This window comes from Homo sapiens, chromosome 19 (assembly GCF_000001405.40).
Source record: "Homo sapiens chromosome 19, GRCh38.p14 Primary Assembly".
In the NCBI taxonomy this organism is placed as follows: Eukaryota; Metazoa; Chordata; class Mammalia; order Primates; family Hominidae; genus Homo; species Homo sapiens.
This window is the reverse complement of record NC_000019.10, coordinates 34,791,730-34,809,899: the sequence shown is the minus strand read 5'-3', so window position 1 is coordinate 34,809,899 and position 18,170 is coordinate 34,791,730. Positions and strand designations below refer to the sequence as shown.

The window sequence follows — 18,170 nt, the reverse complement described above, 5'->3', positions numbered from 1 at the left end:
CTGTACAGGAAGCATGGCTGGGAGGCCTCATGAAACTTACAATCATGGCAGAAGGTGAAGGGGAAGCAGGCATGCCTTACATTGCTGGAAAAGGAGGAAGAGAGCAAAGGGAAAGGTGCCACACACTTTGAAACAACCAGGTCTCATGAGCACTCACTATCACAACAGCAAGGGGGAAGTCCCCCCAACACATGATCCAATCACCTCCCACCAGGACCCTCCTCCAACATGGGGATTACAATTTGACATGAGATTTGGTCAGGGAGGGACACAAATCCAAACCCTATCAGGTCCATTATCCCTTATGCTTTCCTGTGGGGGTTGTGAATTGGCTAGTTTAAAGAAAGCACATGCAAAACAGGGAGTTATATGACTCTGGTGTTGACCATTAGGTTCTATCCACATCTGATCTGTGGTCACACCTCATAGGGAACCATGAGAGAGAAAGAAAGAGAGGAAGTGTGAGTCTGGCTAGGAATGGTGGCGAGGAGAGATACAACACCCTTGATGACTACACATGCCCAGACAACTCATGGCAGCCCACAGTGAGGGCAGGGTAGCCCAGGTAGAACCAAGGGGCCCCTATGCCCTCACCAGTGCACATCTACCCACAACACTGCAGAGATCTGGTGCTGACCCAGGCTGGACTTGAGCCCCCCAGTTCCTGCCCAAAAGTCTAGTCCCTACCATTCACTCAGGAAGTCATTCAGGATCTCAGTCCAGAGGACTTAGTCTTGATCTTTCACTCCAGAGGTTGGGTTTCCACTATTCCCTTCACAGGCTGTGTACTCTCTTGGCCAAGGAGAACCTTTGCAAGCAGCTGCCCATGAACTTGCAGGCTCACTAGTGTTATAGGACCAAGAGGTTTTCATTTGCTTGCTGTGCAGTAACAGACTCATTACCCTGAGACAGCAGCGTTTGCAGCAGAGAAAGAGTTTATCAATTACAGGGCGCCAGGAAAGGAGATGGAAGGGGACTCTCAAATCCACCTCCCTAGAAGTTCTTGGCTGGGATTTTTAAGATCATGGAAGGCAAGGGGCTGGAGAATTGGGGCCATTGATTTGTTGGGGTTAGGGAGACAAAATCATCAGGATGTGGAAATTGCATTCTTTGATGAGTCAGCTCCTGTGGCATTCTTTAGACCAGCTGAGTCAGTAGTTTCATTGGTATGCCGGATCTCAAGGAATATCTCAAAGGGAAACCCTAATGTTTCCTAATGTTCAAGTTGTTATCTATGGAGTAGTTAAGGGGAATTATAATCTTGTAACAGGGTTCACAGGTGTTCGAGTCTTTGAATGCAAGGAATTTTTAGCTTATCTGTGGTGGCAGATATCACAAAAATCATGCAAGGACCTTTTTTCTTTTCTTTTCTTTTCTTTTTTTTGCTAATCAGCTATCATTAGTGTTAGTGTATTTTACATATTGCCCAAGACAATTCTTCTTCCAATGTGGCCCAGGGAGCCAAAAAGTTGAACCCCCATTATTTGAAGACAATCAGCACAAAACAACTATAAAAAAGCGGGTCAGAGAGCAAGCTGATGGAATGGTTAATGTTGAATGTGCTGCAACCTTGGCTTATTTTCATTTCTCCCTTCTTCCCTGATACATTTTTAAAGGTTTATAGGAGTGGTTTCACTAGCCTCGGAAATTTCCACCCGTGGCTTCTCCAGCAGATTCTCACCCTAAAGGTTGGAGAGCAGAGGATCTCGCTGGGCAACTCCAGAGAAAACCAGAAAATTTTGGTGCCACCCTTGTCCACTTGATTCTGGGCAGCCCAACATCATTCTTCTGTCTTCCCTATTGTGGCCCTATCTGGAGGCTTTTTTCTCTTCTCCCTGAAGGGGCATACAGAAATTCACAGAACTGACTCTAACTGTTCAGGCCACAGTCAGTTGAAGATCAATAAGGTAATTAGTTTCCAGCTATGCGTGGCCATACTTTGGGTGTCAGTAACACTATGGAATGATCATTCCATTTGGATTTGTAATCTCTGGGAACATCAGAAATATGGCCCATGGGAACATGCTGAGCTTCAAGAGTCTGAAATAATGTCTCAAAACTTTGGTGATCGTTGCTGGACACGTCCAGAGATGTAGCTACTTCCCCATCCCAGAGCCTGAGAATGAGGGTTATTCAAGACAGCGTGGCTGCAAGGGAAAGCTCTTCACTGTGTGGAGGTGTGAGAGCTATGTGACCCTTACCCAGAATTCTCTGCTGAGTGGCAGCAGTGCTTATCCAATGAAAGCACAGAAAGATGGGAGATTCCAGGTTTAGGGGTGAAGATGGTCAGGACTTCCTGTCTCACTTTGTGGCGGTCATTTTGGCTGCCTTGCAGCTGTTTTACCTGTTCAGAAACTACAGAGGGCTGGGTCAGGTCTGAGGGAAAAGGAGGCGAAGGCAACAGGAAGCCTTGTCCCTACTGCACAGAGGTAAGACTGAGGCTCTGACGCTAGGCTAGGGTGCCACCCATTGTGATCTCGTGTCAGTGCTGGGCTGGAGGCTGCCATGTGGCTGTCCCCATCCTAGTCACCGCAGTTTCTGGAGCCATTCACCCACAGGCTCGCATCACGGTGGCTTCAAGTTGGTGGTGCGTCCCTTGGGCCCTCACCCGCCGGACTCCTACTTTCAAATCTTAAGCCCCACATTGTGGGAACCTGTTCAGGTCACTTCAGTCTAGGCCCTGGTGTTTAGGCTGGGGGAAGCGGGAGAGCTCATGGGTGATGAAGCCGTTTCTGAAAGCCAGTGTGGTGAGTCACAGAAGATTGTTACAGACTGAGGGATCAGCATGTGCAAAGGTTTGGAGGCACAACTGGGCTGGCCTGGGGGCTGTGTGTACACAGAGTAGAGTGTGAAGAGAAGTCACACCTGCAGTGACAAGGTGTTGTACCTTCATTTGTCACAGAACCAAACTGGGCCCATTTGCCCATATACAAAGGAAAGTCAAACACCAGAAACCCAAACACCAAAGCATTGGGTTTTTGCAGCAATAAAGGTTTACTAAGAGTCAAGGAGGCAGGAGGCCAGTCTGTCTCCTTGTACCAGCTTGGCCGCCATAGATTTGAGGGAGAGATTTTGAGGGTGGGGTTTTGGGCTGGACAGTGATTGGCTGGAAGACAAAGCGGTTTGGAGAGTCCCTTGGGCAAGGACTGTTGCCCCTACATGCTGCTTTATGGGTCATATGTTCAGGAAATGGTGTTAGCATGATCTGGAGGTGTTTTCAGCCCTCTAACATCAAAAGGTCACTCATCTGATAAGTCTATTCTGTGCAGACTCCAGTCAGCCATATTGGTCCCAAGCAGTCTCAGCTCATCAGCCAACTTTGTTGCAAACAGAGGGGACTGTGGGAAACTATTTACTTTTCTACTGTTCTGCAAAACAAGTTCAGGAAATTTTGCTAGTTAACAAATTCTCTACCCCTGGGGCACGGTTTCACTTTCTGATGGTGCTTGGAGCCATGCAGGGTTGTGAACTGAGGAGGAACACAGTCTGAGTTAAGGTTTTAAAGTTTCCCAAAAGCTGCTTGGAGGAAGAAGACTGGATGAGGTGCAAGTTGGACAGTGAGGTACAGGGAGATTGAGTACTTGTTCAAAGTTACAAAGCAGGTAAAAGGCATTATTGAGGACTGAAATATAGAGATTGTACAGTCAGTCCAAGGTCACCTGTTTCCACCACTGGGCAGATGTTCAAGAGAGGCCTAAGCCCATGGAGTCCTCCCATAGTTGCCTGCTTCTCAAGGTCTACCTCTTCCCACAGGTTCCTGTGGCCACAAAAGTGCTTATGGATCATACACAGGTGAGTGAGCCCTCACTGGTCCCAACCTTCCATCCACGTGGCTATAGGATTGTGGTGCCTTGGGACTCAGCCTGTGTGTGACTCTTCTAGCCCTTGAGACTGGGGTTGCTTGAGAAACCCCAAGCCCAGGGTCCTCGGCCAGAGGTAGTATATATAATAGTTCCTATGTATATCTAGCAACCAATAGGATGAGGTGTGGAAGGTTATCCTAAGCACAGGTACCACCATCTCCAAATGCTTGAAGGTAAGGCTTAGAAGGGAGTGTTCAGAGAATCACAGATCTCCTCTCTTTCTTGCTAGCAGGAGAGTAGGGGTCAGATCTGGAATGGCAGTCTGAGAAGTTGGGTGGTTTCTGGAGTTGATGGGAGCAATGGCATAGGAGCAATGAGGTGACATGACTCAGGTCTTAATAGGCTCCCTCTGGCTGCAGACTGAACAAATTTTGAGAGTGAGGGAGGAGGCAGGAAGATCATGGATGGGGCTACTGCAATAATCTAAGTAAGTGTTGGTGGTATCTGGAAATGGAGAAAGTGGCTGGATTCCAGACCTTTTTTAAAAATAGGGCTGAATGCTGGATTTTCTAATGTTGAGGGTGAGAGAAAAAAAGGTAGCAGCTGGGCACGGTGGCTCATGCCTGTAGTCCTAGAACTTTGGGAGGCCGAGGCGGGTGGATCACGAGGTCAAGAGATTGAGACCATCCTGGCCAACATGGTGAAACTTCGTCTCTACTAAACATACAAAAATTAGCTGGGCGTGGTGGCACGTGCCTGTAGTCCCAGCTACTCGGGAGGCTGAGGCAGGAGAATTGCTTGAACCTGGGAGGCAGAGGTTGCAGCAGGCTGAGATTGTGCCACTGCACTCCAGCCTGGCAACAGAGTGAGACTCCGTCTCAAAAAAAAAAAAAAAAAAAGGTAGCACTTAGGGATTACTCCAAAGTTTTGGAAGGAAGTGTCATAGGTGAGCAGTGACTGTCTGGGCCAGTGGTGTGGCAGTAAAAGTACTTACCAAGACAATTGTAGGTAAATAAAGGCAGATTTATTAGAGAAAGTAGGAAGATATGTTGCCCATAGGCAGGATCAGCAGAAGAGAAGCTGACTGCCAAGAAACAAAGGCTTGCTTGAGATTTTATAGGATAGTGTTTATGCTGTGTGCTGAAGAGGGTTTTGTGCAATACCGATAACACTATGGTTGCAGTGAGCTAGCATGCAGGTGTCTGGTGATAGGTGGGCACAGGAAGATTGTGAGTTATTTGTGCAGGAGGGCTGTGTGTCCTGGACCATGAAGAAAGGCAGACTTGGAGCTTATCTGCTTTTTCTTTTCGGTTTCTCCTCGTCCTGCCAGCCTGATTCCTTTTGCCTAATTAAGACTCCACAGAAATGAAGGAGAAGTTAGTAGTAAAAGTAATTTTCAGTGGGTATATGGGAGTTTTGTTTTGGCCATGTGAAGAGTGAGATATTTCAGAGAACACTGAGTGAAGACATCAAGTGGACTGGTAGACACAAAGGTCTGGAACTCTAGGGAGTCATTCAGAATAGAGACATCCAGAAGGTGGTGGCCACTTTGTAGACTTGAGGTGAAGCTGTGCATCACATTTAGAAGAAGAAATCTTCAGGTCATGATCTTCAGCTTTCAGCTGGCCAAGAAGGGGAGAGTGAGGGCCGAGGACTGGATCTATTGCTTGGGCACCTGGTTGGGTGTGGTGGGCATCACAGGCACAGCTGAAGGGAGAGAACTGAGCCTGAAGGTTGGGTCTGGGGAAAAGAGGGTCTGGCAGGAGGCCAGGGCTTCTAAGAGAAGAATAGACATTCATGTGGATACAGAAGCATAGGAGTAATTGAAGAAAGATGGCACCAAGGACAGGGCCTTTACTTCACAGCTCTACGGACTCGCCAGGATAGTGGATTAGCACAGGGGCAAATGTGGTTGTCTGCTAGAGGCATTAGGAGGGCAGCAGTTTGCGGGGAGGTATCTAAAACCTGCATGTTGTTCTGGATGGCTGAGATTGACTGATGAAACAGCCAGAAGGTGAGGCTTTCTTAGCAGGATTAAGGGTTGCCCTTGGCAGTGAAAGCCATTGGAGGTCTTGGGGAAGTACTAGATTCTGTCTGAATTGTCAGGCATGTTCTTGATGCCATGTGGTGAGTAGCATGTGGGGAGGCTAGGGAGGGATCTATAGTTTGGGATAGGAAGATAGCAATATCTATGACATCTGGAGATATGAGAGAGGAATAGCCTAAAGAATGATGTGCACATGGAGAGGGAGTGTGTCCTAGGGCTCTGGTATTTGGGACTTAAGGATGAAGAGTGAGCCCAAGTTTGGTTGTGTTTGGAAGGTACCATCTAGGGACTTCCTGGTAATTTCTTGGCAAGAAGGGGTGGGGCCCTGCGTGGCAGGCCTGGAACTTAAATGGTGTCTGTCTGCCCACCTGCTTCTTATTGTTGAGCACAGACACAGCGATTAATGGGTGATAGGAGGGAGTAGGCACAAATGACACCAAGGTCTGATACATCCTCTGGGTTTTGGATCTTGGAAGGAGTATGAATATGGGGTGGATTTATAGAAAGATGTACTGGGGGTCCTCAAGAGAGGCTCTTCATGGTTTCATCTGTCCCTATCATAACAGAGTAATGTGACCTTTGAGGAAGTGGCCATGCACTTCTCCTGGAGGGAATGGAGTCTCCTTGATGATGTTCCGAAACTCCTATACTGCAGTGTGATGCTGAGAACTTTTCACTGATGGCCTCAATGGGTGAGACCCTCACACCCACCCAGATACTTTAGACTAGATTCTGCCTTTCCTTTTCCCCAAGGACAGATCCATCCTTCTCACATTAGGACAATGGACTCTACTTCCTTCCTCAGTTTCCTGGGTAGGTTCACTGGTTGGTGGGGCTGAGCCATTGCACTGTCCTATCCTCTTCCCAAGCAGCCTCAATACCTGCTGCCCCAAAGGCTTACTGGGAAGGGGATCAGGAGTCTTGCCGTCAGCCTTTATAAGCCCACTTTTCCCTTTCCCTGGCCAGGTGACCTCTCCGCCCCAGGTTCTGCCCCCTTCCTCTAGCTAATATATCCCCATGTCTTCCTATACCAGGAATTGCTGTTACCGACATGGTCACTATTTATGTCCTCCTCTGAGGTTGTTTTTGTAACATTTGGTTTTCTTACCTGTAGTCTGTTGCTCCAAGTTTCCCTGGGCCAGTGCTGGCTCCTCCCTTCTTCAGTTTTTCCTTTAGTTCTTGCATTATCCAGGTACTATTCTCAGCTGGGAGCAGGGGGAAGAGCTATGGGTGCTTCTTAGTGGGGACATGCGGCTCAGAGGGGTCCTGGCCCTATTAAGTGGCAGGTGAGAGGGCATGACATCAGGGCTGTGTTCAAATCATACCATGAACCAGTCCTGTTCCCACTACTATTTTGGTGCCAATGCCAGTGGTCACACCTCATTTCTACCTTTCTTCTCCCATTCTTGACACTAGCAGCTTGCCATTTCTAGTCAGACTTTTGTCCCAGGGCTAATCCCCAACTCTCTGTATTGCACATCTTACCTACTCCTGTCCACTACTCCCTCTCACAGTGTTCTCCAACACTGGCCCACACATACTGTGTTGTGAGATGCACACATATTCTTAAGTAGTCTCTGAACGTGAGCCACTCTTTTGCCATTGGATTTTCTTGGGCCTGGACATACCTTTCTGCACACCTCTTGTGTCATCAGCAAATACAAGTACCAAAAACCATTGGCAGAGGAGGGAGTTGTAGACCCCACTCCTCCTCATTGTGCTGCACCTCATCCTTGTGTCCTTTGCCTGGTGAGGCTTCTCCCATGCTGTGACTTTTTGAAAACTATGAGTTCACAACAGCTGCTTCCTCAGTCTGACCCAAACTCTCTCCTCCTGAAAACAGTCCTGTGAACTCACATAGACTCATGCATTGGTGTGCAGATACACATTTGTGATGTCAGTGCCCCTTCTCACCAAAGTCCACGTGCACTTCACTGGCATGTCTTTGCTTTTAGGGTATTGGCATGAAGTGAAAGATGAGGAAGCATCTTCTCAGCCAAGATTTTCTGTAAAAGAATTGTCACAGGTCAGAGCCCCCTGAGGCCCTTTCCTCAGAAAGCCCACCCCTGTGATATGTATGTCTTAATCTTGAAAGACATTTTGCCTTTTGCTGAGGACAGGGGAAAATATCCCAGGAAGAAACTGTATACTTAGGGGCATGTGGAAAATGATCCTTTCAGTAAAGAGAAACCCTTCAGAAGGGATGTAGATAGGAGCTTTTTCGTGAAGGGCTGCAGATTTCTTGTGCCAAATAAGTCCTTTACCTTTGAGAAGGTTGGAAGGTACTTCCTGGTTGACTCAGGACTTCTCCAGCACCAGGCCACTTACAACAGGAAAAGCCATACAGCACCACTGAGTGTGGGGCAGCCATTTACAGTGAAAAAGTGATGAGAAGTGCAGTGAACTCAGGAAAGCCATAAACTGCAAACACACACTTGTTCAGCACCAAAGAGTCCACAGTGGAGAAGGGCTTTATGAGTGTATCACATATGTGAAAGCTATCAAATACAAACCCTTACTTGTCAAACACCAAAGAGTCCAAATTGGGGAAAGGGCTTATGAGTTCTGTGAATGTGGGAAAACCTTCAGCTGCAAATATGGACTTGTTCCTCACCAGTGAATTCACACTGGAGAAAGACCTTATTAGTGCAGGGAACATGGGAAATTCTTTAGCCAAAGTTCCAGTTTTACTGAACAACAAAGAATTCACGCTGGAGAAAGGTCTTATTAATGCAGCAAAAATGGAAAATTCTCTGTCCATGTACACAGAAATATCTTCAGGGATGGATTAAATGAATTTAGGAGCAACAGATATTAGAAATGCTTCACATCCTTGTTACTGTGATAGTGGAAGAGTATGAGGTTTATCCACATAAACCATGGACCAGAGAGACCTGCATTCAAATCCTGCCCCTGCTCACTAGACTGAGATACTCTGGACAACTTCCTCAGATCACTGACTGTGATATGGAGAAGGTGCTCATGTTTACCACACAGAGGTGGAAGGACTGATAAAAGTAGTAAAAACACATTGGGTCAAAATAACTGATGAATATACAGCAAGGGCTCTATTGGAAAAACGTAAACAACATTTAAGAACAGATGGGTAATATAAGTAGAACTGCTAAGAGAAGATCAAAAGGAAATGCTAGAAGCCAGGCGCATGGTGTCTCACGCCTGTAATCCCAGCACTTTGGGAGGCTCAGGCAGGCAGATCACTTGAGGTCAGGAGTGCAAGACCAGCCTGGCCAACATGGTGAAACCCCGTCTCTACTAAAAGCACAAAATTAGTAGGGCGTAGTGGTGCACGCCTGTAATCCCAGCTACTCTGGAGGCTGAGGCAGGAGAATTGCTTGGACCCGGGGGGCAGAGGTTGCAGTGAGCCGAGATCATGCCACTGCACTGCAGCCTGGGTGACAGAGCGACACTCCGTCTCAAAAAAAGAAAAAAAAAAAAAAAAAAACAAAGGAAATGCTAGAAATAAAAAACATTGTTAACACAAATGAATGCCTTCGAAGGGCTCATCAGTAGACTGGACATAGTGGAAAAAAGAATCAATGAGCTTGAAGATATGTCAGTAGAAACTTAATACAAATTAAAGATCTGAACTGTCAGATTGAATAAAAAATAAGACCCAACAATCTTCAAGAAATTCACTTTAAATATAAAGATACTGGTAGGTTAAAAGTTAAGGGGTGGAGAAAGATATGCCATGTGAACATTCATCAAAATAAAGCAGGAGTAACTATATTAATATCAGACTTCAGAGCAAGGAAACTTTCAGGGGTAAAGAGGGGCAGTACATAATGATAAAGAGGTCAATTCTCCAAGAAGATATAATAATCCTTAATGTGTATGTACATAACAAAGCATCAAAATATGTGAGGTGAACAACTTAAAACTCAACAGTGAGAAAACAAAACGACCCAACTGAAAAATGGTCAAAAGACCTGAACAAATACCTTACCAGAGAAGACATACACAGGGCAAATAAATATGTAAAGATGCACATCATATGTCATTCGGGAATATAATGAAGACATTAACAAGACATTAGCCTACACATCTATTAAAGTGGCTAAAATCTTAAAAACTGACAATACCAAATGCTGACAAGTATGTAGAGTGGAAGAACTCTATAAAGGATGCTGGGAATGCAAAGTGGTGTAGCCATTGTTACCAACTGAATTGTGTCTCCCCCAGTTCAGTAGATAACAGCAGCTCTGTTCTCTTGGCCCTCTATCCTCTTTTTCTGGCTTGCAGATATAGTTGCCTTCTTGCCGTGACTTCACATGGTTCTGTGGGGTAGACAGGGAAGAGAAAGGAAAAGGGGAGGCCTCAATCTCTGGTGTCTCTTCCTTTTCTTATATGGACATGAGTCCTAGCAGGTTAGAGCACCACACTTATTATTTAATTTAACATTAATTAGGTCCTTAAAGGCCCTTTCTCCAAATATAGTCACACTGGGGTTAGGGCTTCATATTTTGAACTTAAGTTCACACAAAAACTTTCATATGGATGACTATTGCAAATTTTTTTCATAATTTCCCCAAACTGAAAGCAACCAAAATGTCATTCTGTATGTGAATGGATAAAAAGGAAACAAAAACCAGTTGTACATCCACACAACGGAATATTATTCAGTGATAAAACCAAATGGGCTATCAAGACACCAAAAGACAGAGAATTCTTACACACATATTGCTAAGTGAAAGAAGTCAGTCTGAAAATGCTATGTATAGTATGAGGCTGGGCATGGTGGTTCACGCCAGTAAACTCAGCACTTTGGGAGGCTGAAGCAAGAGGATCACTTGAGCTATGGAGTTCCAGACCAGCCTGGGCAACACGGCAAAACCCCGTCTCTACAAAAAATACAAAAATTAGGAGGATGGGGTGGTGCATGCCTGTGGTCCCAGCTACTCCGGAGGTTGAGGTCAGAGGATCACTTGAGTCCAGGAGGTGGAGGTTGCAGTGAGCTGAGATCATGCCACTGCAACTCCAGCCTGGGTGACAGAATGAGACCCTGTCTCAAAAAAAAAAGTGCTGTGTATAGTACGATTCCAATTATGTGACATTCTGGGAAAGACAAACTACAGATACAGTAAGAAGATCAATAGTTGCCAGGAGATTGGGGGAGGGTTGAATGGGTGAAATGCAAGGGATTTTTATGGCCATGAGGCTACAATGATACTGTTTGCGTTTGTCAAAACTCATAGACCTGTCCAACACAGAGTGAACCTTAATGTATGCAAATTAATGTAATAAATTCAGAGGTTGAAGGATCCCAGAAAATAATTTAGGCTGTAACATGCAAATCTATCTGTATTACAAATGTATGAGGCAACTTCACAGAGGGAGTAGAGGGAAAGGTGCTGACCTAAGTAACTTTAGAAATGAATGGAGTCTGTAAGACTAAAGGCAAAATGAACTACAAATATGCAGTGTACACTAGTTGATAAAGTTTTCACATGAGGGTACAGATGAACAATTCTGATACTGCTATACATGTATACTGGAATTGAACTATTAAATAAATGGATGCTGGACAGTGGGAGCCAGGTTTTCACTGTTGGAGTAGGAATTTATAGATTAGCAAGGGGAGGATGCTAGAATGATCTCTGTGGTACCAGATTAGAGTTGGAATTATCAGTAAGAATACATGTTTAAGTTAATATAGATACAGATGGCATATGCATGGTTAGTATATACACATACATTTCTTTGCTCTGTCGCTGAGAAGGCCTCAAAGAAATTGTACCCCAGTAGCAATGAGCACATCTGATGCCTAAATCTTGATTGTAACGCATTTATCTAATACAATTGTAGGGAGACCCCCTGAAACTATTGCTATGGAATAAAAGATGAAATGCTCCTGATTATTGTAAATACAAAATTGCATGCAGGATTGTGTAAAGACAATGCCAGGTGGGACTGCCAGAATGAGCCAACAGCACATGATGTGTTTCCCCCTGCAGAGAGCCTATAAACCGACGTGGAGTCAGGGAGGTTTCACATCACCAAGATTCCTATCCCAGAAAAGCAGATGTTCATAGCTCTGGGAATGGAATGCGACCCTTGTGGAGAGCCTATAAATGGATGCATGGGGGCGCCTGTTCATACGGATAAGATAGGGCTATAAACACCCTTATCTTGCCACGACTCTTCTAGGTCTCTTTAGGGTTAAGACATACTCCCTTCTGAGATTTTGTGGTCTAACTGGTTGTCTAGTTTCACATCCTGCTTCTATTGATTGTTTGCAATCAGCTTTTGCTGCAATTATTACTACTGATTAGTATCTTACTAAATATAGGTTATGGATAGACTGTGTTTCTGTTTTAAGGCTCTGTTAGAAATTGCTGATGCACACACTATATTGTAAATTCTTATCTCTGTATACTGTACTTCTGCATACAGATGTTCCCAGACACTTCTCAAAAGAAGACATTTATGCAGCCAAAAGACACATGAAAAAATGCTCATCATCACTGGCCATCAGAGAAATGCAAATCAAAACCACAATGAGATACCATCTCACACCAGTTAGAATGGCAATCATTAAAAAGTCAGGAAACAACAGGTGCTGGAGAGGATGTGGAGAAATAGGAACACTTTTACACTGTTGGTGGGACTGTAAACTAGTTCAACCATTGTGGAAGTCAGTGTGGCGATTCCTCAGGGATCTAGAAATAGAAATACCATTTGACCCAGCAATCCCACTACTGGGTATATACCCAAAGGATTATAAATCATGTTGCTGTAAAGACACATGCACACGTATGTTTATTGCGGCACTATTCACAATAGCAAAGACTTGGAACCAACCCAAATGTCCAACAATGATAGACTGGATTAAGAAAATGTGGCACCTATACACCATGGAATACTATGCAGCCATAAAAAATGATGAGTTCACGTCCTTTGTAGGGACATGGATGAAGCTGGAAATCATCATTCTCAGCAAACTATCGCAAGGACAAAAAACCAAACACTGCATGTGCTCACTCATAGGTGGGAATTGAACAATGAGAACACACGGACACAGGAAGGGGAGCATCACACACCGGGGCCTGTTGTGGGGTGGAGGGAGGGGGGAGGGATAGCATTTGGAGATATGCCAACCATGTTTTTAAAAGGACGTCAGCAAAACTTTGTCCAGAGACCCTGGGGGCCTCTCCTACCCATAGCCGTTTTGTGCATAAAGATAGTTCCAAAGGGAATCTTAAATCTTAGCCCATTTGAAATGAACTATGGGAGGCCCTTTTTAACTTCAGACCTCCTGTTTGATGAGGAGACATAAAATGCTCACTCATACTATCAACTTGGGCCAGGTTCAAAAAGCTCTCCAAGAATATGGAAATAAAGCATTGCCCTTTCCCACAGAGGAAAAGAATGGCTCCCCTGTTCACCCAGGATATTTAGCCCTCTTAAAAACTTGGAAAGGCTGGGCATGGTGGCTCACACCTGTAATTTCAGTACTTTGGGAGGCTGAAGCAGGCAGATCGCTTGAGATCAGGAGTTTGAGACTAGCCTGGCCAACATGGTGAAACCCTGTCTCTACTAAAAATATAAAAATTAGCCAGGCATGGTGGCAGGCGCCTGTAATCCCAGCTTCTCGGAAGACTGAGGTAGGAGGACCACTTGAACCCAGGAGGCGGAGGTTGCAGTGAGTCAAGATTGCACCTCTGCACTCCATCTTGGGCAATAGAGAGACTCCATCTCAAAAAAAAAAAAAAATTGAAGGGCTCCTATTAGGCATTGTTGAACACCCCCACTGCTATTAAACTTCACAGAATCACTAGTTGGGTATACCTGTCCAGGATTAAATAAACCTGTTTCTTATGAGTCCCCTCAGGCACAAGAGGAGGACACCAAGAGCTACACTGTGAAACCCTAGAAGACTTAAAGCTATTGTTTTGAAAATTCACAGATTGCCAGGTGTGGTGGCTCACGCCTGTAAAACCAGCACTTTGGGAGGCTGAGGCGGGCGGATCACCTGAGGTCGGGAGTTCGAGACCAGCCTGACCAACATGGAGAAACCCCATCTCTACTAAAAATACAAAATTAGCTGGGCGTGGTGGCACATGCTTGTAATCTCAGCTACTTGGGAGGCTGAGACAGGAGAATCGCTTGAACCTGGGAGGCAGAGGTTGCGGTGAGCTGAGATTGTGCCATTGCACTCCAGCCTGGGCAACAAGAGCAAAGCTCCATCTCAAAAAGAAAAAGAAAAAGAAAAGAAAATGCACAGATAAGTACTCAAACCCTTGAAACACAGGCAGGAAGTATAGGAAAAGCCGTAAGTGGACTCCAGGCCTCCCTGTACTCCCTAGCCAATGTTGCCTTAGACAGCAGATTGGCTCTAGACTATCTTCTGGCTGAACAATGAGGAGTATGTGTGGTAGTAAGTCATACCTGTTGTTCTTATGTTAACAATTCAGGGATAATTGAACTGCAAGTTCAAAATATCTGCCAAGGCCAAGCACAGTGGCTCACATCTGTAATCCCAGTACTTTGGGAGGCCAAGGTAGGAGGATCACCTGAGCCTAGGAGTTTGAGACCAGCCTGAGCAATACAGTGAGACTGTGTCTCTATGAAAAATAAATTTAAAAAAATAGCTGGGCAGGGTAGTGTGCGCCTGTGGTCCCAGCTACTTGGAAGGCTGAGGCAGGAGGGTTGCTTGAGCCTGAGAGATCGAGGCAGCAGTGAGCATGATCATGCCACTACACTCCAGCTTGGGTCACAGAGTGAGACCTTGTCTCAAAAAAGAAAAATAAAGATTTACTAGCAGGCCACCTGGCTACATAATTTTACTAACCCCACCAGTCAAACCATCTGAGACTCCATCAAAGGATACCTACCAAGTACGACATGGTTTTTACTCTTACTATGGCCTTTAATAGCTCTGTTACCACTGATCTTTGGCCCTTGCTTGTTTAACCTCTTAGTAAAGTCTGTGTCTTCTAGATTACATAAATTCCATGTGAAGATGTCACAAGGCTTCCAACCCATCCCATCTTCTGACCCAGAAAATAAAGACATCCTGCTTTGGGCCCCTTATATCAGGTATTCAGAGATTTTTACTCCTTCAAAGCTAGGCAGGACCTATGCCCATAAGATCAGCAAGAAGCAGTTGCAGAAGATGGACCTCTACCCTTCTACAACCCCTTAAGATTAAGAAGGAGGGCCAGGCATGGTGATTGACCCTTGTAATCCTAGCACTTTGGGAGGCTGAGGCCAGTGGCTCACTTAAGGTCAGGAATTTGAGACCAACCTGGCCAACATGGTGAAACGCTGTCTCTACTAAAAATAGAAAAATTAGCCAAACATAGTGATGCATGCTTGTAATCCTAGCTACTTGGAAGGCTGAGGTGGGAGGATTGCTTCAACCTGGGAGGTGGAGGTTGCAGTGAGCCAAGATTGCACCACTGCATTCCAGCCTGGGTGACAGAGCAAGACTCTGTCTCAAAAAAAAAAAAGAAAAAAAAAGATTAAGGAGGAGTATATAATCTCTGAGGGGGGAATGAGGTCGAAGATCAGTGGGACTTGTTTTCTGAGCACCAGTCACAAGGCCCCGCTGATCAAAACAGTATCTAAGCAAAACAGGATGTAGCAAAGAAACTGGCCAAAACCAGCTAAAACCAAGATGTTGCCCTCGTTGCTCATTGTACATTAATTATAACTCATTAACATACTAAAAGAAACTCCCACCAGTGCCGTGACAGTTTACAAATGCCATGCAACTCCCAGAAGCCACCTTATACAGTAATATGGTTTGTCTCTGTGTCCCCACCCAAATCTCATCGTGTAGCTCCTATAATTCCCACATGTTGTGGGAGGGACCCAGTAAGAGATGACTGAATCGTGGGGCAGCGGGGAGGGGTCTTTCCCATGCTGTCCTTGTGATAGTGAATGGGTCTCACGAGACCTGATGGTTTTAAAAATGGGAGTTTCTCAGCACAAGCTCTCATTTTGCCTGCTGCCATCCACATGAGATGTGACTTTCCCCTCCTTGCCTTCTGCCATGATTGTCAGGCCTCCCTAGCCATGTGGAACTGTAAGTCCAATAAGCCTCTTTCTTTTGTAAATTGCCCAGTCTTGGAGATGTCTTTATCTGCAGCGTGAAAACTGACTAATACATACGATTTTAAAAAGGGAGGAACCCTCAGTTACTGGAACCTCCACCCCTTTTTCAGAAAACTCATGAATAACCCACCTCTTATTTAGCATATAATGCAGGAATAGCCATAAATATAGCTAGCCAGCAATCCACGAGGGCTTCTGCTACTACTCTGCTACAGAGCAGCCATTTTCCTGCCCTCTGTAGCTCTAATAAACTTGCTTTCACTTTGCTCTGTCAGCTTGCTCTTGAATTCTTTCCAGCACAAAACCAAGAACCCTCCTGGGCCAAGCCCCAATTCTGGGGTTCACCTACATCAGAAGCACAGGGTGGGCCACATAAGCTTACCAGAACTTACAGCATTATTTTTATTTCATTGTTGTATTTTGATGGAAACTGATTTGTGAAAAGTGAAACTAGTTTTCCCATTTATAAGCAATACAAGATTCCCTTTATGAAGAAACCAATTCAAGTAAACAAAATGTGTGTCAACTTAAAGAATAGTGGTTTATACTAATGGTCACAGCCAACGTCCCCTGACCACTGACCCTATGCCAGGCCCTGTTCCAGGCACTCTCCCTGCTCCACTGATTAGCCCTCACAACATCCCTGGTGAAGTGTGGGCTTTTCCCCAAAGCTGCTGACTCTAGACCCAATTGGCTTCCCTCTAGGAAGCTGCTGCCCAAAGAGAACAATAACATTTTTGAGCATGACTTATTGTTTTAATATGCTTGTTAATTTGAGGTATACCATAAGGCATACCTCAGCAAAATGTTCAGTCCTAAGTGTTCATTTCAATTCATATTTAATCTGTGTCCCCACTTACAGTAACTTCCACTAGATCGAGCTATCAGGCATTCTGAATCCCCAGCAGGCTCCCCCTGCATCTCCCAGTCAGTTCCCCCAAAAGGCGTCACTGTGCTGACTTCCATCCCCATACATTGGATTGGCTTCTTCTTGAAGGTTATGTGTATGGATTCACATGGCATGCATGGCTTTTTGTCCAGGGTCTTTCGCTTGGTATCCTGTTTGTGAGATTCATAGCACGAGGATTAATATCTTTTTTTTTTTTTGAGACAGAGTCTTGCTCTGTCATCCAGGCTGGAGTGCAGTGGTGCGATCTCCGCTCACGGTAAGCTCCGTCTCCTGGGTTCATGCCATTCTCCTGCCTCAGCCTCCCGAGTAGCTGGGACTACAGGCACCCGCCACCACGCCCAGCTAATTTTTTGTATTTTTAGTAGAGACGGGTTTTCACCGTGTTAGCCAGGATGGTCTCGATCTCCTGACCTCGTGATCTGCCCACTTTGGCCTCCCAAAGTGCTGGGATTACAGGCGTGAGCCACCGCACCTGGCCCCTCACAAGGATTAATTTCAGTCTTGAGATTGTTGATGCAGTTGTTCCTTGGTTTATACAGATTCCCTTTACCTCACTTGCACCCTCAAAAATCATAGCTCCAAAATAGCAGAACTCCCAACATTTTCCAAAAACATAGAAACAGAGCAGAAAGTCAGGCATCAGTCAATTTAGACCCACACTTTTCAATCCTCCCTGAGCACCTGGAGAACTTTTAAAGCTGCTCATGTCCATGCTTCATCCCGGGATTTTGTTCCATTTGGCCCATAATCAAGGCATCCCCAGGTGGTTCTTTTGTTCAGGGAGGTTGAGACCCACTGACTTAAGTTAATTAGAAAATAGTTTCTGTTATGAAATGTCACTTTCCCAGGGTCCCATGGCTGTATTTAAAGGGGGAAGGGCTTGCCCATGAACAGTGTTGGATTCTGTAGGATGGAGATTGAGGGGGATGAATGTTACATTGATGGTCATCACAACCCTCTATAGACTCTTGGCTCAAGGATAGTTTTTGTGCTGTTGGTTTCCAGGTTACAGGTCAACATTTTCTTTGCATGGAAGGGAGCAGCCTCATTCTGGGCTCCTCCTCTTGTCTTGAACACCATACTGAATACAGAGCGTCATTCTTATCTTTACCCAAATATTGCTGTCCTATTTCTCCATGATCAGGGTATCTTCTTCCAAAATTGGAACTGAGCTACCTGATGGAAAATGAGCAAGATTATTGTGTGGTGAAGAGAGGCCTCTCATAAAGTTCCTGTCCAGGTAGGTGACCAAGAGCTGGGCAGGTGGGAGTCCCTGAACTCCGTAGATCAATTGGGGACCTCTTTTTGGGAAGGGGGAAGCCTCTTGTTG

At 45.3% G+C, this 18,170-nt stretch overlaps 1 protein-coding gene and 1 pseudogene across 3 annotated transcripts in view; both read left to right on the top strand.

The window, feature by feature from the left end:
* Nucleotides 1-2,298: 2,298 nt before the first annotated feature.
* ZNF599 (zinc finger protein 599) overlaps nucleotides 2,299-18,170 on the top strand; it is a 49,529-nt gene continuing 33,657 nt past the window's right edge. Inside the window, exons 1-5 of one of the 3 annotated variants that reach the window (XM_047438255.1) lie at nucleotides 2,299-2,747; nucleotides 3,754-3,792; nucleotides 6,417-6,542; nucleotides 14,812-14,910; nucleotides 17,985-18,080. The gene's annotated coding sequence lies outside the window, so the exon portion shown is untranslated. Of the gene's footprint in view, nucleotides 3,793-6,416; nucleotides 6,543-14,811; nucleotides 14,911-17,984; nucleotides 18,081-18,170 lie in introns of all 3 variants that reach the window. The other 2 variants (XM_047438256.1, XM_047438254.1) reach the window with 2 other exon arrangements.
* On the top strand, nucleotides 7,805-8,605 carry LOC100419834 (zinc finger protein 134 pseudogene; annotated as a pseudogene).